The sequence below is a fragment of the Homo sapiens genome, chromosome X (assembly GCF_000001405.40).
Source record: "Homo sapiens chromosome X, GRCh38.p14 Primary Assembly".
Classification (NCBI taxonomy): Eukaryota; Metazoa; Chordata; class Mammalia; order Primates; family Hominidae; genus Homo; species Homo sapiens.
The window spans coordinates 36,232,277-36,255,648 of NC_000023.11; the positions used below are offsets into that span (position 1 = coordinate 36,232,277).

The 23,372-nt window shown below is 36.1% G+C and overlaps 1 protein-coding gene across 2 annotated transcripts in view; it reads left to right on the top strand.

Moving 5' to 3' along the window:
* The window catches only part of CFAP47 (cilia and flagella associated protein 47), a 465,584-nt gene that overhangs the window by 312,543 nt on the left and 129,669 nt on the right, over positions 1–23,372 (top strand). For both annotated transcript variants that reach the window (NM_001304548.2, XM_017029452.2), the window contains exons 47-49: positions 3,658–3,801; positions 4,410–4,583; positions 19,057–19,168. In NM_001304548.2, coding sequence (NP_001291477.1) covers positions 3,658–3,801; positions 4,410–4,583; positions 19,057–19,168 — 430 coding nt within the window. The remainder of the gene's footprint in view (positions 1–3,657; positions 3,802–4,409; positions 4,584–19,056; positions 19,169–23,372) is intronic.

The following is a 23,372-nucleotide window of genomic DNA, read 5'->3' on the forward strand; positions in this document are numbered from 1 at the left end:
GCCACAATTTCAGAGCCTGTTATCGGTCTATTCAGGGATTCAACTTCTTCCTGGTTTAGTCTTGGGAGAGTGTATGTGTCAAGGAATTTATCCATTTCTTCTAGACTTTCTAGTTTATTTGCGTAGAGGTGTTTGTAGTATTCTCTGATGGTAGTTTGTATTTCTGTGGGATTGGTGGTGATATCCCCTTTATCATTTTTTATTGCGTCTATTTGATTCTTCTCTCTGTTTTTCTTTATTAGTCTTGCTAGTGGTCTATCAATTTTGTTGATCCTTTCAAAAAACCAGCTCCTGGATTCATTAATTTTTTAAAGGGTTTTTTTGTGTCTCTATTTCCTTCAGTTCTGCTCTGATTTTAGTTATTTCTTGCCTTCTGCTAGCTTTTGAATGTGTTTGCTCTTGCTTTTCTAGTTCTTTTAATTGTGGTGTTAGGGTGTCAATTTTAGATCTTTCCTGCTTTCTCTTGTGGGCATTTAGTGCTATAAATTTCCCTCTACACACTGCTTTAAATGTGTCCCAGAGATTCTGGTATGTTGTGTCTTTGTTCTTATTGGTTTCAAAGAACATCTTTATTTCTGCCTTCATTTCGTTATGTATCCAGTAGTCATTCAGGAGCAGGTTGTTCAGTTTCCATGTAATTGAGTGGTTTTGAGTGAGTTTCTTAATCCTGAGTTCTAGTTTGATTGCACTGTGGTCTGAGAGACAGTTTGTTATAATTTCTGTTCTTTTACATTTGCTGAGGAGAGCTTTACTTCCAAGTATGTGGTCAATTTTGGAATAGGTGTTGTGTGGTGCTGAGAAGAATGTATATTCTGTTGATTTGGGGTGGAGAGTTCTGTAGATGTCTATTAGGTCTGCTTGGTGCAGAGCTGAGTTCAAGTCCTGGATATCCTTGTTAATCTTCTGTCTCGTAGATCTGTCTAATGTTGAGAGTGGGGTGTTAAAGTCTCCCATTATTATTGTGTGGGAGTCTAATTCTCTTTGTAGGTCACTCAGGACTGGCTTTATGAATCTGGTTGCTCCTGTATTGGGTGCATATATATTTAGGATAGTTAGCTCTTCTTGTTGAATTGATCCCTTTACCATTATGTAATGGCTTCTTTGTCTCTTTTGATCTTTGTTGGTTTAAAGTCTGTTTTATCAGAGACTAGGATTGCAACCCCTGCCTTTTTTTGTTTTCCATTGGCTTGGTAGATCTTCCTCCATCCTTTTATTTTGAGCCTATGTGTGTCTCTGCCCGTGAGATGGGTTTCCTGAATACAGCACACTGATGGGTCTTGACTCTTTATCCAATTTGCCAGTCAGTGTGTTTTAATTGGAGCATTTAGTCCATTTACATTTAAGGTTAATATTGTTATGTGTGAATTTGATCCTGTCATTATGATGTTAGCTGGTTATTTTGCTGGTTAGTTGATGCAGTTTCTTCCTAGCCTTGACGGTCTTTACAATTTGGCATGATTTTGCAGTGGCTGGTACCGGTTGTTCCTTTCCATGTTTAGCGCTTCCTTCAGGAGCTCTTTTAGGGCAGGCCTGGTGGTGACAAAATCTCTCAGCATTTGCTTGTCTGTAAAGGATTTTATTTCTCCTTCACTTATGAAGCTTAGTTTGGCTGGATATGAAATTTTGGGTTGAAAATTCTTTTTCTTTAAGAATGTTGAATATTGGCCCCCACTCTCTTCTGGCTTGTAGAGTTTCTACCGAGAGATCCACTGTTAGTCTGATGGGTTTCCCTTTGTGGGTAACCGACCTTTCTCTCTGGCTGCCCTTAACATTTTTTCCTTCATTTCAACTTTGGTGAATCTGACAATTATGTGTCTTGGAGTTGCTCTTCTCGAGGAGTATCTTTGTGGCGTTCTCTGTATTTCCTGAATCTGAATGTTGGCCTGCCTTGCTAGATTGGGGAAGTTCTCCTGGATAATATCCTGCAGAGTGTTTTCCAACTTGGTTCCATTCTCCCCGTCACTTTCAGGTACACCAATCAGATGTAGATTTGGTCTTTTCACATAGTCCCATATTTCTTGGAGGCTTTGTTCATTTCTTTTTATTCTTTTTTCTCTAAACTTCCCTTCTCTCTTCATTTCATTCATTTCATCTTCCATCACTGACACCCTTTCTTCCAGTTGATCGCATCGGCTCCTGAGGCTTCTCCATTCTTCACGTAGTTCTCAAGCCTTGGCTTTCAGCTCCATCAGCTCCTTTAAGCACTTCTCTGTATTGGTTTTTCTAGTTTTACATTCGTTTAAATTTTTTTCAAAGTTTTCAACTTCTTTGCCTTTGGTTTGAATTTCCTCCTGTAGCTCGGAATAGTTTGATCATCTGAGGCCTTCTTCTCTCAACTCGTCAAAGTCATTCTCCATCCAGCTTTGTTCCATTGCTGGTGAGGAGCTGCGTTCCTTTGGAGGAGGAGAGGTGCTCTGCTTTTTAGAGTTTCCAGTTTTTCTGCTCTGTTTTTTCCCCATCTTTGTGGTTTTATCTACTTTTGGCCTTTGATGATGGTGAGGTACAGATGGGTTTTTGGTGTGGATGTCCTTTCTGTTTGTTAGTTTTCCTTCTAAGAGACAGGAGCCTCAGCTGCAGGTCTGTTGGAGTTTGCTAGAGGTCCACTCCAGACCCTGTTTGCCTGGGTACCAGCAGCGGTGGCTGCAGAACAGTGGATTTTCGTGAACTGCGAATGCTGCTGTCTGATCGTTCCTCTGGAAGTTTTGCCTCAGAGGAGTACCCGGCCGTGTGAGGTGTCAGTCTGCCCCTACTGGCGGGTGCCTCTAAGTTAGGCTGCTCGGGGGTCAGGGGTCAGGGACGCACTTGAGGAGGTAGTCTGCCCGTTCTCAGATCTCCAGGTGTGTGCTGGGAGAACCACTGCTCTCTTCAAAGCTGTCAGACAGGGACATTTAAGTCTGCAGAGGTTACTGCTGTCTTTTTGTTTGTCTGTGCCCTGCCCCCAGAGGTGGAGCATACAGAGGCAGGCAGGCCCCCTTGAGCTGCGGTGGGCTCCACCCAGTTCAAGCTTCCCAGCTGCTTTGTTTACCTAAACAAGCCTGGGCAATGGCAGGCGCCCCTCCCCCAGCCTCGCTGCTGCCTTGCAGTCTGATCTCAGACTGTTGTGCTAGCAATCAGCGAGACTCCGTGGGCGTAGGACCCTCCGAGCCAGGTGGGGGATATAATCTCCTGGTGCGCCATTTTTTTAAGCCTGTGGAAAAGCGCAGTATTGAGGTGGGAGTGACCCGATTTTCCAGGTGCCGTCTGTCATCCCTTTCTTTGACTAGGAAAGGGAACTCCCTGACCTCTTGTGCTTCCCGAGTGAGGCAATGCCTCGCCCTGCTTCGGCTCACACACGGTGCGCTGCACCCACTGTCCTGTGCCCACTGTCTGGCACTCCCTAGTGAGATGAACCCGGTACCTCAGATGGAAATGCAGAAATCACCCGTCTTCTGCATCGCTCACGCTAGGAGCTGTAGACCGGAGCTGTTCCTATTCGGCCATCTTGGCTCCAGCACATCGATATTTATTCTTAACAAATATGACTTTCCACTGGTGATTCCTTGGAAATACAATTAAAAATACAATATATAATGCTATAGAAATTACCAAGAATTCATATGTAATTCAATTTCATCAATATCATCTCTCTGATATTTCTGTACCTTTTTCATGCTTTAGAAAAATCAAACAAACGATAAATGGACCTTTCAAGTTACTATAGAAGGAGAATGGTTTTATGGACCTGTTGATTTACATGTTGGACCAGATGAAATTGTGGAGTATCCTCTCACATTCAAACCTATTTTTGAATGTGTCATTACGGTATGAACTCCTTGATATTTTCCCCAGTATTAATTAATAGTATCATTAGTTAATAAACTAATGTATGACATTAGTCTTTTAATTGATAGTACAACTGTTTAGTAGAAAAGTTAATATTTTCCATGAATTTGACTATTTTTACTTAAAACTTTAATACATGTTTTAATTTGAGGCATAAACATCATGAACATAACAATATTTTTGTCTGTGAATACTAGCATTCAAATTAATTTTGTACAACATGCTGAACAAAGTAAGATAATTACTTTTCCTTCCTATTCATTAAAGAAATTGGTGTATCAGAAAATACTTTCTTAAGACAATATTTCTTTTACATGGAAGTAGACATGCATATAATTGCTGTGTATGAAAATACCTATATACACTCTGTAATTTAGCAAGGGTAATCAGAAATAAATGACTTTTCACCAGAAATTTGTCTTTATGTGTTTTGTAGAAGCAGTTATTTGTGTATTGAAAAAGTCAATGGCTAACACCTCTCTACAAGCTCTTTTTATTAATCAGACACAAGAAGAATAAGATAGCAGAGGTTGTTTAACATTTATCTATGACTCCTATAGACCTGAAATTTGTCTGGTTTCTCATAGGGTAAACTTATTCTACAAAATGAAGTAGATGGTAGGGAGCACATCTTTGACATAAAAGGGGTTGGGAAAAAACCTTCGGCCTTGGAACACATCACTGTGGAATGTCAAGTGGGGAATGTGACACAAAAGCATATAACATTGCCTCATTTCACAAATACTGCCCTAACATTTAAGGTAAGAATTTATTTTTAGTGTGAAAGTGTTTTTTTCTGAATATAGTGAATCACATGAAATATAATAATTACAAACAATTTTTTAAACATTTAGTTTTACTTAATCAGTTGAAGCAATGTCACATAAGATGTCTACAATCCTACCTATTATTAGTCCAACAGCTTTTAAATATCATTTCAATTATAAAGTTGAATTAGGATGAAATAAGTCTTATATGTATATAACTATAAAGCACATTAAAATCTACTTATTTGAGTCATGTGCTTTTCATTGAAAAAATTGTACATGATAATAAATGGTGTTTTCAAAAATATTTAGAAACATCTTTTAAAATTTTAATGTGAAATCTGTAAGCAAAACAAAATTTCAGAAGTGTAGCCTATCATTTACCAGTGTAAATAATGGTGGAAATATTAAGGAATGCATAATTGTTTACACCCTTTTACTTATTTATTTTTTGTTTTAGGTTTTATTTATTTTATTTTATTTTATTTTATTTTTTGTCTGTTGCTCAGGTTGGAGGCCAGTGGTATGATCTCGGCTCACTGCAACCTCCACCTCCTGGGTTCAAGTGTTTCTTGTGTCTCAGCCTCCCAAGTAGCTGGGATTATAGGCATGTGCCACCACGCCCAGCTACTTTCTATATTTTTTGTAGAGATGGGGTTTTACCATGTTGGCCAGGCTGGTATCAAACTCCTGGGCTCAAGTTATCCACCCACCTTGGCCTCCCAAAGTGCTGGGATTACAGGCATGAGCCACTGCGCCTGGCCTATATCCTTATTTTTTATGAAGCATTATACTCTGTCATCCTCACTTGGTTTGTTTAAACCAATCTTTAAATAACATTTTCCACTCACTCCTACAATTACCCACAAATAGTTATTTGCTCAATAGGATCCTCAAAAGAAGCTTCAAATATCTACCCATTATAGGTGCCTGAATTCAATTTTAGAGGGGACTACAGAAGTTTGTAAATTCTCTGGGTTTACTCTTTGCTTTTTTTGTAACCCTGATAAATATGTGCCTTGGTTTTCCTCTTCTTTTTTTTTGCTAGATTGCAAATGGAATTAATATTCTAAATGAAACTCTTATCTTCTCATGTCCGAGTAAAATTATTCAGTGCCATCTCTTACCTTCAAAATCAAAACCTAGTCCTTTGCCCATTTTTTTATAGGGATATCTGGATTTTAATGTCTTTTTTTTTCTGTTGAGTTGTGTTTTCCTTATATTTTATGATATGGTTTGGTTGTGTCCCCACCCAAATCTCATCTTGAATTGTAGCTCCCATAATTCCCATGTGTCATGGGTGGGACCTGGTGGGAGGTAATTGAATCATGTGGGTGGATTTTTCCCATGCTGTTCTCGTGATAATGAATAAGTCTCATGAGATCTGATGGTTTTATAAAGGGAAGTTCCCCTGCACATGTTCTCTCTGGCTTATTGCCATGTAAGACATGTCTTTTGCCTTCCACCATGATAGTGACGCCTCCCCAGCCACATGGAGCTGTGTGTCCATTAAAAATCTTTTTCTTTATAAATTACCCAGTCTTGGGTGTGTCTTTATCAGCAGCATGAAAATAGACTAATACATTTTATCTATTATCCTCATATCACCTATGTAATTTGCGAATATTTTGTCCATTCCTTAGGTTGCCTTACATTTCATTGATTGTTTCCTCTGCTGTGACCTCTGTGAACTCAAGGGCCAGTAACATGTGAAGTTTGACACTGTTGACCTACCTTCTTAATGTTATTCACCCTTTATTTTATATTATTCTACATTTCTTGTTTCCTTGACATTAATTCCTTAACATTGGATTATCAAGTGATAATCAAACCTTGATTATTACTTATCTGGTCCGTTTATTCCTCTAACCTTCTGATTTCAAGTTTCACGCATCAAAAGCATCCTTATTTCTGTATGACCTCCCACTTGGCAGTTTCCTGGCTTCAGGCTATCATCTAAATACAAATACCAAATTCATACTTTTATTCAAGATGTACATGTAAGCTCCAGCCCTTCATTTTCAACTCCTTGCTATACCACTCCACTTTGATAATCTGTTACTATAGACTAGACTCAGCATGTTCTTTTAAATGTTTTCCTTGTTCAATTTTTCATTGGTGCTAGTAACTATTTTTATGATGCTTTGTATTTTTAAAAAGCTTTTTAATATACATTTCATTTGATTGCTGAAGGTTGAGACCTCTTTAACATGAAAGAGAAACTAAAAACTAGAGAACATAAATGAGATATAGGTAAAATGCTATAGAATTTTATCAAATTAACAAAGTAGTAGAAAATAATTATATAATAAAGAAGACAAGAGATGTGGGACTTCCACGAAGGTGAAGCAAGAAGGTTTGTAAATTCATTTTTTAAAGAAAAGCAATGAAAACACTGGCAAAAATTGTCAAAATCGAATTTTTCAGTGATCTTGAAATTAAAGACTTGAAATAATCTAAGAAGTATATATTTAAGAAAAACTCGGAATTCTGGAAAGAGCAGGATGGTTTGTGGCATTTTAACTTGAATTATTCTTATCCCTCTCTCTTTAGCTCTGCAGTCTTGCAACTGTAGTAACTATGAAAACCAGCAGCTTTGCAGTCAAAAGAAGAGACAGTGTATGGATTACTATTTGACCTTTTTCCAAGTTTGCTAGCAGCATCCCACTAGGAAGGCATTATCATTATTTGACTTGTCTCAGAGTTTGCTCTGATGGATAGGTCCTATCCTTAGAGCATTTGTCAAAAATATTTAGCAGCAATGGTTTAACATTGCAGTTGTCTGAGGCTGCAATAACAATAGCAGCTAATAAGAGATTGGCTAAAAACTTGAAAGGAAGATCTGGAATATAAGATGCCCTTAGGGGATTTTAGAATCTCTGGTATATTCCTGGGAAACAAGCAGGCCGCACGGATGTTCAAGATTGTGTACATGCCTGAGAGAGTCCTAATTTTTCACCTCTGGCTGATACAGACACTGTGAGAGCTGAAAATTAAGGCTAAATCAGAGTTTTAAACTACTTGAGTACTTAAAGTATACAACAACACATATACAGTACTCCTTGTCAAAGGATAGAAGATTTATTGGTTCTTTCACCGTTTATAGAAACCTGTGGCAAATTACTGCTGACCGCTAAGCCAACTAAATAGAGCTTCAGTGGGCACATACTATAATGAATACAGACTTTACAGAATTAGTTCAGAAAAGTCACTAAACCATAAAAGAACAAAACAACAAAAACAAGAACAATGAAAACAAACCATTAGGAGGGGATGATCTGATTTCCAAAGTGGCTATATTACCTTACATAAAAAGTAGTTTTCAATAAGAAATTAATTATGAGATGAAGCAAAAGGACAAGGAAGCAAAGAAACAGGAAAGTATGACCAATGCACAAAAAATAAGCAATTGTTAGAAGCTGTCTCTAAGGGGACCTACACGTTGAATTACTAGACTAAGACTTTAAATAAGCCTTTGTAAGTATATGCAATGAACTAAAAGAAATCCCATCTAAAGAATTAATGAAAAGTATGACAATGATGTTTCAATAAATATATCATATAAATATAGTTATAAAAATAATGAAAAAGACCAACATTCTGGTGTTGACGAGTACAATGAGAATTATTAATTATACAGCCTCAACAGTAGATGTAAGCTGGCAGAAGAAATAATCATCAAACTTTAATATGAGTCAATACAGATTGTCTAGTCTGGGGAAGAGGAAAAAATAAAGAAAAATGAACAGAACTTTAGATATACATGGAACAGCATCAAGCATACCAATGTATGACTTACAGTAGTTCTACAGAAGAGAAATATAATGGAAAAGAAATAGTTTTCAAAGAAATAAAGGCCAAAAAAGCCCCAGATTTTATTAAACTTTAAACCACATATCCAAAAAGCTCAACCAACTTAAAAACAGCATCAAAAAAATTACTGTATAGGTGAATAGAATATACAACATAAATATATGCTAGATGTAACTGCTTTTCCTTCTAGGTCATTTAAAAGAAAAAATGGGGAGGGGGACAATACGGCCAAATAGACACAGCCAAGAACTGCTGTTCCCATTGATAGAGACAAAAATATCCAGTAAGCCAACATAATTAGAGCAGATCTTCAGAGGGAAAACACCGAGAGTGGATTGAGAGGCAACTCAGACTCTGAGGCTGAAGGAGGAGGAAGCTGGAAACCCTACATGGGGTACCTGAGTGCTAGAGATAGTTCCTGGCCCCAAACAACTTCTGGGGAAGGGAAGAGTGAAGGAACTAAGGTACAGCTTATTCTCACTGCAGACCTTTAGGATACCAGCTACAGAGGACTCCATGTCCCCATGGATGTTTGAGCTGAGAAAGAGATGTTTTCAGAAAGTAGGCAGAGACAGGACTTCAGCTAACATGGAGCCAGGGGCTTTCCTGCATGAAGCAGCTCTGTTGGAGTGCAGCCGTAAGTGTCCAGGCCCCAGGGATCCCCATCTCCCTTCTAGAAGCTCTAGCCCCAGCTGACTGCCAGGCCAAGAGAGAGCAAGGGCAGCTTCCAGATGGAACTGGGGCACATTTATTCTGTACGCCCTACTGCTAGCCAGCATCTCCCAGGGCACCTGCCTGGCTGCCCCACAGAAGTGTGTGCACAATACAGCCTACACTCTCCAGGCTGAGTGCTTTGCTCCAACTGAGTACTTTCCTGGCAACCTGGGAGCACTTCAGATCCCTGAGAGCAGCTGGAGCCTGACCCCTAGCTGTGGGCCTGTCATGATGCCTTAGGGTTGCATCATGCAGCTCAGGAGTACTGAGCCAATATCTTTGGCCAGCACTCAAGTTGAAGAGGAGCCCCCAGTCTTAGAGCACTGAGAACAGTGAGACACATTAGTCCATCAGCTGGTGTGGGAGTGGGACATTCCTTTCTCTGCAAGGCCAGTCTAGAAACAGTGTGGCCTACCTGCCTGCTGCAGCCTCTGCCCAAGTGAGCCCCCTGGCCTGGAACGCCTAACAAAAGAAATGTGGGTGCAGTGCCAGTAATCAAATGGGGCTCCTCTAAGGCCCAGAAATCGACCTGGTGAGAGTGTCATCTCTTCCCCACCCTCTCCCACCACAGAGCACACATGCAAACATGAGAAAAAGAGTCACGTGGCTGTGTAAGAGCTTATCTACCAGTCATTATTCTTAAGCACCATCTACTGGATCACAGCCCAAAAGACAGCCCCCAAAATATTCTGCTAACATACACCCCTGTGAAACCAAGGGCAAGAATTCAGCCTCAAATAAATATTGTTTCTGAAAACATCCACAAACAAAGCAAACTGACTATACCCAAATTACACCACAGTTAAAGGAAAACCAACCCTCCCAGATAAGAAAGAATCAATGCAAGAACTTTGGCAATTCGAAAACCAGAGCGTCTTCTTACCTCCAAATGAGCCCACTAGGTCTCCAGGAATGGTTCTTAACCAGACTGAAATGACTGAAATTACAGAAATAGAATTCAGAATCTGGAGGGCAAGGAAACTTGACGACATTCAGGAGAAAGTTGAAACCCAATGCAAGGAATCCAATAAAATGATCCAATAAAATGATCCAAGGAGCTGAAAAGTGAAATAACCATTTTAAGAAAAAAACCAAACTGAACGTCTGGAACTGAGAAATTTACTACAAGAATTTCATAATGCAAATGGAGGTATTAACAGCAGAATAGACCAAGCTGAGGAAAGAAGTTCATAGCTCAAAGATGTTCTTTGAGTCAACTCAGTCAGACAAAAATAAAGTAAAAAGAATTTTAAAAGTTGAACAAAACCTCTGATAAAAATTAGATTATATAAAGAGACAAAGCTTGTGACTCATTGGCATTCGTGAGAGAAGGAGAGAAAGTAAGCAACATGGAAAATATATTTGAGGATATAGTCCATGAAAATTTCCCTAATCTTGCTAGAGAGGTTGACAAGCAAATTAAAGAAATACAGAGAACCCTGGCTAGATACTATACAAGACAACTATCCCAAAGGCACATGCTCATCACATTCACCAAGGTCAATGTGAAAGAAAAAGTCCTAAAGGCAGGTAAAGTGAAAGGTTAGGGCACATAGAAAGGACACCTGATCGTCTACCAATAGATCCTTCAGCAGAAACCTTACAAACCAGAAGAAATTGGTGGTAGTGGTGGGCTATTTTCTACATCCTTAATGAAAGGAAATTCCAACCAAGAATTTTATGTCCCACCCAACAAAGCTTCATAAGTGGAGAGATAAAATCTTTCTCAGATAATCAAATGCTGAGGGAATTTGTTACTACTAGATGAGACTGACAAGAAGTCCTTTAGGGAGTGCTAAACATAGAATTGAAAGGACACCTGCTTCCACAAAAACACACTTAAGCACATAGCCCATAGACATTATAAAACAACTGTGCAACCAAGGCTTCATAATTACCAGCTAACAACATGATGATAGTATCAAAATTTCACATATCAGTACTGACCCTAAATGTAATTGGACTAAAAACCCCACTTACAAAACACAGAATGGAAGGCTAGATTAAATGACAAGACCCAATTGACTGCTGTCTTCAAGAGACCCGTCTCACATGTAACAATACCCACAGGCTCAAAGTAAAAAGGATGGAAAAGGATTTACATGCAAAACAAAAAGAAAAAAGAGTACAAGTCTCTATTCTTATATCAGATAAAATAGAGTTTAAACCAACAACAATTAAGAAGAACAAAAAAAGGCATTACATTATGATAAAGGGTGCAAGTCAACAAAAAACTTAACTATTATATGTGTGTGTATATATATATATATATATATATATATATATATATATATATTCAATATTCGAGCATCCAGATTCATGAAACAAGTTCTTGATGTTCCAAAGACATAGACAGCCACATAATAATAGTGGGAGACTTCAACGCCCCACTGACAGCATTAGACAGATCATCAAGTCAGAAAATTTAGAAAGAAGTCCTGAACTTCAAAGAAGTCCTGAACTTAAACTTCACACTTGTCTAATTGGACCTAATAGAAAGCTATACAATGGTCCACCAAACAATCACAGAAAATACTTTCTTTTCATCTGTGCATAGAACATATTTTAAGATTGACCACATGTTCAGTAATTAAAGCAAGACTCAATACGTTAAAAAACAAAACAAAACTCATGCCCAGCACATTCTCAGATCACAGTGCAATAGTAATAAAAATTAATATCAAGAAGATTTCTCAAAACCACACACATACATGAAAATTAAATAACTTGCGCCTGAGTAACTGCTGGGTAAAGTTAAAAATTAAACCAGAAATCAAACATTATTTGAAACTAATAAAACTTGAGGCATAACTTATAAAAATCTCTGGGATACAGCTAAAGCGATGTTAAGAGAAAAGTTTACAGCACTAAAAGCCTTCATAAAGAAGTTAGAAAAAGCTCAAATTAACAATTTAACTTTGCACCCAGTGAAACTAGAAAAAAATAACAGACCAACCCCAAAGCTAGTATTATAAAAGAAAGAATTAAAATTAGAGAAGAACTAAATGATACTGAGACACATAAATCCATACAAAGGATCAATAAAATCAAGTGTTGGCTCTTAAAAAAATAAACAAGATAGAAAGTGCACTAGCTAGATTAACACAAGAGTAAAGAAAAGAAGATGCAAATAAGAACAATTGTAAATGATGAAGACATTGCAGTGGATCCCACGGAAATACAAAAGATCCTCAGAGACTATTATCATCAACTCTATGCAGACAAATTTAAAAATCTAAAGGAAATTGATAAATTACTGGAAACACACAACCTGCCAAGATAAAACCAGAATGTGAAGACCTGAACAGACTAATAACATGTTCCAAAATTGAATCAGTAATAAAAACCCCTACCAACCAAAAAAGCCCTGGACCAGATAGATTCACAGCCAAATTATATCACTGGTACCAATCCTACTGAAACTATTCCAAAAAATTGAGGAGGGGCTTCTCCCTAACTCATTATATAAATCCAGCATTAACCTGATGCCAAAATCTGGCAGAGACACAACAAAAAAGGATAACTTGAGGCCGATATCCCTGATGAAAGTACACACAAAAATCCTCAAAAAAATAATAGCAAACCAAATGCAGAAGCACATTAAAAAGTCAATACACCAGGATCAAGCAAGCATTACTCCTGGCATGTAAGTCTGGTTCAACATACACAAATCAATAAATGTCATTCACTCATTATAAGAATTGAAAGCAAAAATCATTTGGTCATCTTAATAGATGCAGAAAAAGCTTTTGATAAAATCCAGCATCTCTTCATGGGAAACACCTTCAAGAGACTAGGTATCAAAAAATCCATCTATGACAGACCCACAGCCAAAATCATAATGAAAGAGCAAAAGCTGGAAGCATTCACCTTGAGTACTAGAAAAAGCCAAGGATGCCAAATTTCACCACTCCTGTTTAACATAGTAGTGGAAGATCTAAACAGAGCTATCAGGCAAAAGAAAGAAATAAAAGGCATCCAAATGACAAAAGAAGAACTTAAACTATGTCTTTTTGCAGACAATATGGTTCTACACCTAGAAAACTCTAAAGACTGCCAAATGGCTCCAAGAAATGATAAAAAAACTTTAATAGAGTTTTAGGATAAACAAATAGAAGTATGAACATCAGTAGCATTTCTATCCACCAGCAATGTTCAAGCTGAGACCCAAATCAAGAACACATTCCAATTTACCATAGCCACAAAAAGTTAAAATATCCAGGAAGACAGCTAAGCAAGGAGGTAGAAGATCTCTGCAAAGGAAAATGTGAAACACGCTCTAAGGGTACAGTAACCAACACAGCATAGTACTGATGCAAAAACAAACACATAGACCAATGGAACAGAGTAGAAAACCCAGAAATAAAGCCACACACCTACGATCATCTGATCTTCAAAAAACCCTACAAAAACAAGCAATAGTAAAAGGACTTCCTATTCAATAAATGGTGCTGAGATAACTGTCTATCCATATGCAGAAGAATGAAACTGGATCCCTATCTTTCACTGTATACAAAAATTAACTCAAGATTGATGAACAATTTAAAGGTAGGACCTCAAACTATTAAAATCCTGGATTTTATTAGCTTGAGCACCTTTCTCAACATCAGCCTTGGCAAGGAAATTATGACTAAGTACCCAAAAGTAAATTGCAACAAATCAAAAATTTTATTAAGGATCTAATTAAATTAAAGAGTATCTGCATAGCAAAATAAATTATCAACAAAACAAAGACATCCTACAGAATGGTAGAAAATATTCACAATCTGTTCATCCAACAAAGGTCTAAAACCCAGAATCTATAAGGAACTTAAATCAGCAAGCTTAAAAGAAATAAGCCTGTTAAAAATTTGCACAGGACGTGAATAAACCCTTCTGAAAAGAAGACATACAAATGTCCAACAAACATATGAAAAAATGCTCATCATCACTAATCATCAGAGAAACACAAACCAAAACCAAAATGGCATACCGTCTGTATTAGTCCACTGCTATAAAGAACTGCCCAAGGCTGGGTAATTTATAAATGAAATAAGTTTAATTGACTCACAGTTCTGCATGGCTTGAGAGGCCTCAGGAAGCTTACAATCATGGCAGAAGACACCTCTTCACAGGGTGGTGGGAGGGAGAGGAACAAGCAGGGGAAATGCCAGATGCTTGTAAAACCATAAGATCTCATGAGAATTCACTCGCTGTCATGAGAACAGCATGGGAAACCACCCTCGTGATCCAGTTATCTCCACCTGGTCCCGGTTTTGATACGTGGGGATTATGGGGATTATGGGGATTACAATTGAAGATGAGATTTTGGGTGGGGACACAGCAAAACCATATCACCATCTCACACTAGTCAGAACGGCTGTTATTAAAAAGTCAAATAATAACAGATGTTGGAGTGGCTGAGAGAAAAGGGAATGCTTATACACTGTTGTTGGGAATGTAAATTGGTTCAGCCACTTTGGGTAGCATTTTGGAGATTTTTAAAATAACGTAAACTGAGCTACCATTCAACCCAGCAATTTCATTATTAGGTATATACCCAAAAGAAAACAAATCACTCTACCAAAAAGACACATGAACTCATATGTTCATTGCAGTACTATTCACAGTAGCAAAGACTTGGAAGCTACCCAGGTGCCCATCAGTGGTGGATTGGATAGAGAAAATGTAGTACATATATACCATGGAATACTATACATTCATAAAAAGGAACAGCATCATGTTCTTTGCAGCAACGTGGTTGTAGCTGGAGTCTAGAATTCCAAACAAAGTAATGCAGTAACAGAAAACCAAATACTGCAATTTGTCACTTACAGGTGGCAGCTAAACTTTGAATACACATGGACATAGAGATAGGAACAATAGATACACAAACTATTAGATGAGGAAGGGAAGGAGGGGGCATGTGTTGAAAAGCTACCTATTAGGTGCTGTGCCTACTACTTGAGTGACAAGATCCATAACCTAAACCTCAGCATCATGCAATATACCCATGTAACAAACCTGTACAAGTAACCCCTGTATCTAAAATAAAAATTGAAATTATTAAAAAACTTAAAAATTAATAATTATATAAATATCTTGGCAGGCTTAAAATGTGTAAAGATGTAATTGGTATGAATGTAGTAACATACAGGAAGACTAGAAGGATAGGTGCATACTGGAAAAATATTTCTGTATGCTACTGAAATTAAGTTAGAATTATTACAAAGCAAATTGTTTCAAAATAAGATGCTAGTTATAAAACCCAAGACATCTTAGAAAATAACTCAAAAATAGAGTAAAATATACGAAAAGGAATTTAAGTGACACATTAGAAAATATTTTACTCAAAATCTGACAGTAATGGAAGATTACAGGAACAAAGGTGACATAAGATATATAGATAATAGGAAAATGGCAGATTTCAGTTTTCTTGTCTGCATTATATATAAATTGTCTAAACACTCAAATGTCAGAAATTGGAAGAATGTATTTTTAAAGAAAAGTTCAACTTTAGGCTGCTTATATTAGACCCATTTTAAATAAAATGACAAAAATAGTTTGAAAGTAAAACATATACCATGAACATAGTTTCTAAAATAGAGCCAAAGTGGCTGGAGTATTTCAGAAATCAAATGACTTGAGACATAAAATTATTACTGCATATGAAGAGACATTTTATAAAGATAAAAGTGTCAATCTATCAGGAATATATACCAATTATAAGTATATACATGTATATGTATGTGTGTATATATATTATCATATATTATACACATATCATATATGTATTATGTATTATATTTATTATGTATTATATTTATTATGTATTATATATCATATATGTATTATGTATTATATTATACACACTATCAGAAGATCTACAGTTACCTATAAAAGATAATTCAAAAACAAGAATTATGTAGTATTAACATAAAATATTTTTCTATGCTTTAGAAAAAATATTTTTCTATGCTTTCTTTATAATATGTGTGTATATATATTATAACATATTATATATTATATTATATTATATATTATGATATATTTGATATATAATATAATTTTATTATAACATAAAGAAAGCATAGAAAAGTATTTTAAAAATATCACATATTATATCACACACACACACACACACACACACACAACAACAGAGCCTGAAAAGACATGAAGCAAAACCAACAGAATTTAAGAAGTCAGAAACAACAATGTTAGTTGGAGGTTTAAATATCCCACTGTCAATAATGGGTAATTAACTAGCCAGTAGATCAACATAGATATAGAAGACTTGCAAAAATCAATGAGATCTAATAGACATCTGTGGAACATTCCATGTAATAACAGCAGAATAAATATTCTTCTCAAGCATACATGGAATATTCTCCCAGATAGACTATGTCTTATAGCATAAAATAAACCTTAATAAATTTAAAAGCGAGGTAATCATGTACAGTATGATTTTTGACAACCACGGAATTAAATTAGAAGTCAAAAATGGAAATAAATTTGGGAAATCCTTGAATATGCGGAATTTAAAACAACATACTCCTAAATAACCAATAAGTCAAAGAAGAAATCACAAGGGAAATTAGAAAATGATATGAGATGAGTGAAAATGAAGACATAATTGACCAAAATTTAGGAGGTGCACCTGAAGCAGTGCTTAAAGGGAAATTTGTAGATGTGCATACCTGTAGTAAAAAAAGAAGAAAGATGTTAAGTCAGTTACCTAACTTTGTATCTTAAGTAACTAGAAAAACAAGCAAATGAAAGACAAGGCAAGCACAAAGAGGCAGTAAGAGAGAGTAGAGTGAAATAAAATGATATGGAAAATAAATCAATAGAGAAAACCAATAAAAACAAAAGTTAGTTATTTGAAAAGGTCAGTAAATAAGCTAATTTACCTTGACTGACAGAAAAAGAGAGAATACTCAAACTACTGAATTAAGAAATGAATATGGAGACACCACTATCTACCTGAAGAAATAATAATTAGAGATAAATACTAAGAAAACCTGTATGCCCATAAATTTGATAATTTGGAAAAAAACTGACCAATATATAGAGTTACAAAAACTACTGAGCTGACTCAAGAAGGAATAGAAATATGATGCACCTACAACAAGTAGAGAATTAGCATTTGTAAGACTTCCCACAAAGAAAACACAGTCTTAGATGGCTTTAATAGTGGATTTTACTCACAGTTGAAGAACTAATATTAATGTTTCACAAACACTTCTAAAAAATAAAAGATAAGTAAACATATTCTAACTTCCACTTTGAGATCAATATTATTACCTAGATAATAAATCCAGACAGAGGCATCATGGAAAATGAAAACTACAGATCAGTTTTCCTTAGGATTATAGCCGAAATACTCTCAACAAAATATTAGAAAACTGAATTCAACAACATTTAAAAATGATTATACACCAACATAGAATATATGGAATTGTATTACCAGAGTCCATGGCGATATATGGACTTTCCCTACACTACTGGAGTGTTTGAAGATTCCTAGAAAAGAAAATTCAAAAACAAGTGTTGGTGATGATGTGGATAAAGGAAAACCCTTTTAAACTGTTGGTGGGAGTGTAAATTAGTACAGCCATTACGATAAACATTATGAAGTTTCTTCCAAAAATTAAAAGTAGAACTATCATATGATTCTGTAATTCTACTGCTGGGTATATATTCAAAAGACTTGAAATCTCTATGTCAAAGAAATATCTGCACTTTGTTGTTCATTGCAGCATTATTCACAATAGCCAAGATATGGACTGAACCTGTGTCCATCAACAAATGAATGGATAAAGAAAATGTGATATGTACGCAATGAAATACTATTCAGTCTTAAAACAGAAGGAAATCCTGTCATTTGTGACATGGATGAACCTGGAAGCCATTATGTTGAGTGAAGTAAGCCAGGCACAGAAAAGCAAATATTGCATGATCTCAATTATATGTGGAATCTAAAAAAGTTCAGTTCATGGAAGTGGAGAGTAGAATGGTGGTTATCAGGAGCTGATGGGGGGAGTTGTTGGAGAGATGTGAATGAAAGGACACAAAATTTCAGTTTGATAGAAGAAATAAGTTCAAGAGAATTATTAGAGCTTGTGTACAGCATGGTTATGATAATTATAACAACGTACTGTATTCTTGAAAAGAGCTGAGAGAATAGATTTTTTGTTCACCACAAAAATGATAACTATGTGAGATAATGCATAGATTAATTAGTTTGATTTAGCCATTTCACAATGTATATATATATATATATCAAAACATCATGTTGTACATTATATACAATTTCTCATCCATTAAAAGTATGAAAAAGTTTTTAAAAGTATGCTAAATAAAAAAGTCAGTGACAAAAGTCCACATCGTACTGTTTAATTTCATTACTAATAATTGTTCATAACAGGCTCATATGTAGAGACACAAAGTAGATTATTGTTTCCCTGAGCAGTGGGAAGTAGGAAGATATAAGCACGCAGTAAACTGAAAGTTGGGTTTAGCCAGGGTGTGGTCAAATGCTGCTTAAATATTTTTTATTTGTTTTATTAATATTGATGTAGAAATTTATTGAAATGATTCATCTCTTTTGTATATCAAACTGCCTAAAGACAATTGTGCATGGTTGATGAGAGCTATTCAGACTTTCTAAGCATCAATGATCTTGATATAAGTAGCAACAGAATATAAGCATCATTTGTTTTGTAAGAATAATTTCCTTTGTTCCATTTTTAAATAGGTTTGTTCTTAGATTTCTCTTCTACTGGATGTAGAATTTTTCTGGCTTGCTGTTTTTTAAAAAAGTGAATGATTTTATTGGGGGTATTTAAATTAAATTTCAGTTTGTTCTATGCTTTAACTTGTTACAGTAATTTCATGTAGTGTAGTGTACTTATTTTATGTTGATACTACATAATTCTTGTTTCTGAATTATCTCTTATAGGTAACTGCAGATCTTCCAATAGTGTGGGGAAATCCACAAATTACAGTATACCCTTATAAAGAAATTCTGTACCTGATTCATGTGCGCCCTTGGAAACGTGGTATATTGAAAGGTATAAAATCCATTAATAAAATATTAGTCATTTTCCTACTACGCTAAGATGGAAATATGATGAGACAAATAGAAATGCAATTTGTATTTCCACTTTCTATTAAATGACTCAGAAGAAAGTTTAATTTTATATTTCAGTCATTAGCTTTCTAAGTAATCAGGGCTTTGATGCATACATTTTATGTCTAGTGCTATATTATCTTGGCCATTTATTCAAATTTATTTGTGGAACAAATTTCTATAAATGAAAATATTTAATTAAGGGTATTTACATTTAAAATGTGATAAATACTTTCAAATACTTATACCCGCGTATCAACCCAATGACATTTTAAGAGAATGTTTATTTACAGGACTGGATATTATAAAAACATTCACATGCACTTACTTGATATATGAAAAATAAGTTAAAGGTTTGATATATGTGAATTTTTTCCTTTATCTTCCCTTGTCTGTAATAAAGTATTTATTTATGCAGATTTCCGCAATGGTCCCAGAACAGAATTACTTACATGGGAATCGGAGGGAGAGGTGTTCCTGTTACTTTTTGAAGGGAGAGGGGTAAGAAGTGATAGAAGAGTAATAGCTAGTACTGAGTGATTATGATTCATCAAAGGAATAAGTTGTCCTATTTGAGAGAAAATTAAATTCCCTATGGTAGTTGGATACTGTTGAGGAAATTATTATAATGTAGGTAAGTGGATACAACTTTAGAAGTGTAGAAAGCATATACATATACACATATTCTTTCTACACTTACATATGTAGTGGTATCTACTGCTCCTTGGATGTACTAGCCTCACATCCCTGCTTACCTCAACAAAGTGTTTGAGGGAAGGGTTTATATCTAGTATAGAAGCGATAGTGAGCTGCTGCAAAGAAGAAAGTGCAGAGAGCATACTGGATGCCTATGCTATTAAAAAGCAGAAGGGAAATTTCAGAGTGCCAACCACAATGATCCAATTATTACCACTGTAATAGAATTTATGTAGGAAGAAACAGCTGCCAATCCCCATTCCCTGCTTCTAGTGTGCTTAACCTCAAATGCCAACACAACAAAAATTGTTAGCATCTTCTGAAATCTTCCCCTTGTTTTTGAGATGTTTAGATTTACAAACCCCATTAATAAGTCCTCATTTGATAGGTAGGTTTGAGCTATAATGTCTCTAGTCCAAACATTTCAATAAAGTAACATATTTTACTATTTTTTAGGTAATCCATAAGAAGTGAATTGATTTAAAGAAATTTAAGTTTTAGTTTTCATTTTAATTGTCATTGACAGTCCTAGTAGTTGGTATATTTTCCTTAATTTTAGAGTTTTAACTCGTCTTTTGTAAAAGGCAGCAAGTCATTCAGAATTGGTATAATTAGTTTTGATAAAACATAATCAATTTCAGTTTCCTGTTCTGTAGGAAGCAGTGAGTTCTACTACTTATGAGAAGAAACACATAAGAAACCACAAACTGTGAAACATTGTTGAATTTGGAATGTTTATAACTACCACAAAGCCCCTGGTCTGTGAATCAAACTCTTAAAGTTATTGGAATAGACTGACGAAAAATTAAATAATTAGATTTGGCAGGCCTTTCCTTTGTGTAATCTTTTTTGTTGTTGTTGGTTTTAGCAGCTTTTGTGGCACCACAATATTTCAATACATATTTTTACTATTTTGATATGGACTATTAACATGTTGGTTTGAAAAAATTTGGAACATATTTGGTGAAGTTAAATGCAGCGCAGGATACATTGTTAAGTGAGGATGAATTAGGTTAATGTTTCTGGCTATACAAACCATTTTACAGGCTTCATAATTTTGAAAAATATTTACAAGACGTGATCATGTTAGCTCTTCCCAGGGCAGTGCCTTAGAGTTAAATTAGTTGTCCCATTATGCTTTGGAAAAAACAGCCTGTAAAAGGGAGCCTAGCTCTAATTTTTATTGATATTACTATTGGAAGACTTAAACTATAGATTAAACAGTATAAATACAATTGCTTCTGAACAGCTGCTAACTAATCTGAAGTGATATAAAGAAAGCTAGATTATAAAAATTTCACACATATGAGAATTTTCCTGCTTTTGCTGGTTAAAGAACCGTGTCCATGTATGGGTGCATGCATGTGTACGCACGTGTGTTATGTATCAGATACTTTTTTAAAATTTTGTGTTCATTTTCAATTCTGTTATTGATTATATAATAATTATTTACTAAAGACCTATAATTTGGAAAGCCTTTATAAACATAGTAGTTATGAACAAAGCTGACATTCAACTAATTATGCTTTGCTTATTGAAATATTGTAACAACTGATCTTTTCTTATATGTTGGCAAATATTCAGTTGTTTGAGCTCCACTATCAAATAACTTTTGCCAGTCCAGATACCACAGCCCCTCACCCAGAACTCTTGGAACCTCCCAACAATTTAGCAGCTCCTAAAGTGTTAACACATAAAGCATCAGGATGCCTCAGGACCTAGATCAGGCAGGACCTAGATCAGGTGTCCTTTCTGGTTGGTCAGTATTGGGATAAAGTTTTGTTAATTATTTTGAATATTACCACTGTATCTAAATATGAATATCACGTAGCTCCTTCTTCCTGAGAATTCACATCTGGTGGTGGAAACAGGTATCCATAAATCATCTCAATGAAGGTATGCTTTGATATATCTAAAGTTTAATTATAGCACTGGGGAGCCTGATGGAAGGAAATATTAATCCCAACAATGGGGGTCTGAGAGGGCTTCACAGGGGATGGTGGGTTTGATCTGAACCTTGAAGAATATGGCAGAGGGTTGGGGAAACTTTCCAGCAGGAGAAATAACCTTATTGAAAACACAGAGAAGACAGTTTCTGTAAATTAAAAAGTAGATGGATGTGTTTGGAGTGCATGTGTGAGGTAGGGAGTGCAGAGTGACATACAATTAGCAATGCAGGTAGACATTTTAGGGCAGAGTTTTGTTTTACTTATTGCACTGGGAGCCATTGAAGATTGCTGAGGAGGCAAGAGGTATGAGTCAACTGAGTTTGAAAAAGGGAAATCTGGAGGTAATATAAAAAACAGACAGGAGGGGTGAGATAGGCCAGTAAGATCTGGGAGATCATTTAGGGGTCTTTGACAATATCCAAGGTAATCAGTTCTGTGTACCCACTCCCAAAAGCAAACCCTAAGGCAAGAGTTTAATTGCAAGTAGTTAATCTGAGAGGTGATCAGGAGAATCACACTAAGTAAATGGGGAAGTGAGATGCTGGAGGGAGAAAGCCAATAAGTAAGCAAGCTAGTTATCAGGTTACTGCTGAAAACTGAGGGACCTCACTGGGACCTTCAGAAAGAATTGTCATACTGAAGGGCAAGGGAGTTGGAGTACTTATCTGTTAACCCCTAATTGATTAAAGCTTTCTCTTAGGTCAGAGGTCTGTAACAGTGAGTTCCCACAGGCAGAGTTGTAGGAAACCACTGGTGTGTATAGGAACTCTCTGCAGGGGGGATTTTTGTGAGGGCACTGACAGCATGTACTAATGTTATACCAATATTATATTTGGTATGTTTGTTGGTAGAAAGAAATGTTGGGAACTGGATGGATTTGGAATTTTCAAGGCAGCCTGCAGTGATCTACGATCATGTTCCAAGTGTGCCTGTGTGGAGGTTTGTTTTAAATGCCTGTTTGGCCATGGAACCAAAAGTGAAGATGGACCATTCTAAATCAGAGTTAGGGCAGAACAAACTAGGCAATGATAATGAATTAAGAAACAGAGGGACAGCTTCAAGAGAAATAAAGAGGGAAAATGATGCTGTAACAGGTTGAGTTTCCAGGAAATCAGATTCCGAGAGAGGAAGTTAGAATGCAGGACATTTATTAGGGAAACTGTTATGAGCAACACTTGTGGGAAAAAAAGGTAAGAAAGTATGTTTAGCAGAGGTAGAAACTGAGCTTTGGCGAAGGCCCACTGAAGGCTTCAGCCAACTCATTAAGGCTCCTGAAGCTGGGATGGCTCTTCAGAGTTGTCCCGAGTTGGGAGAAAGAGACTAGACCTTCACAGTACTGTGTTGATCAGTCATTGAAAGTGGGCTACATGTGGAAGGAGGTTTGACCTTGAGTGAAGCTTTTATTTTTTTTTTCAAGCAAGGCAATGCATAAAGAGGGCTGACCTGTTGGCCATCTTCCAGCATTATATCCAGTAGCTATGGGAGTAAGTTCCTCATTCC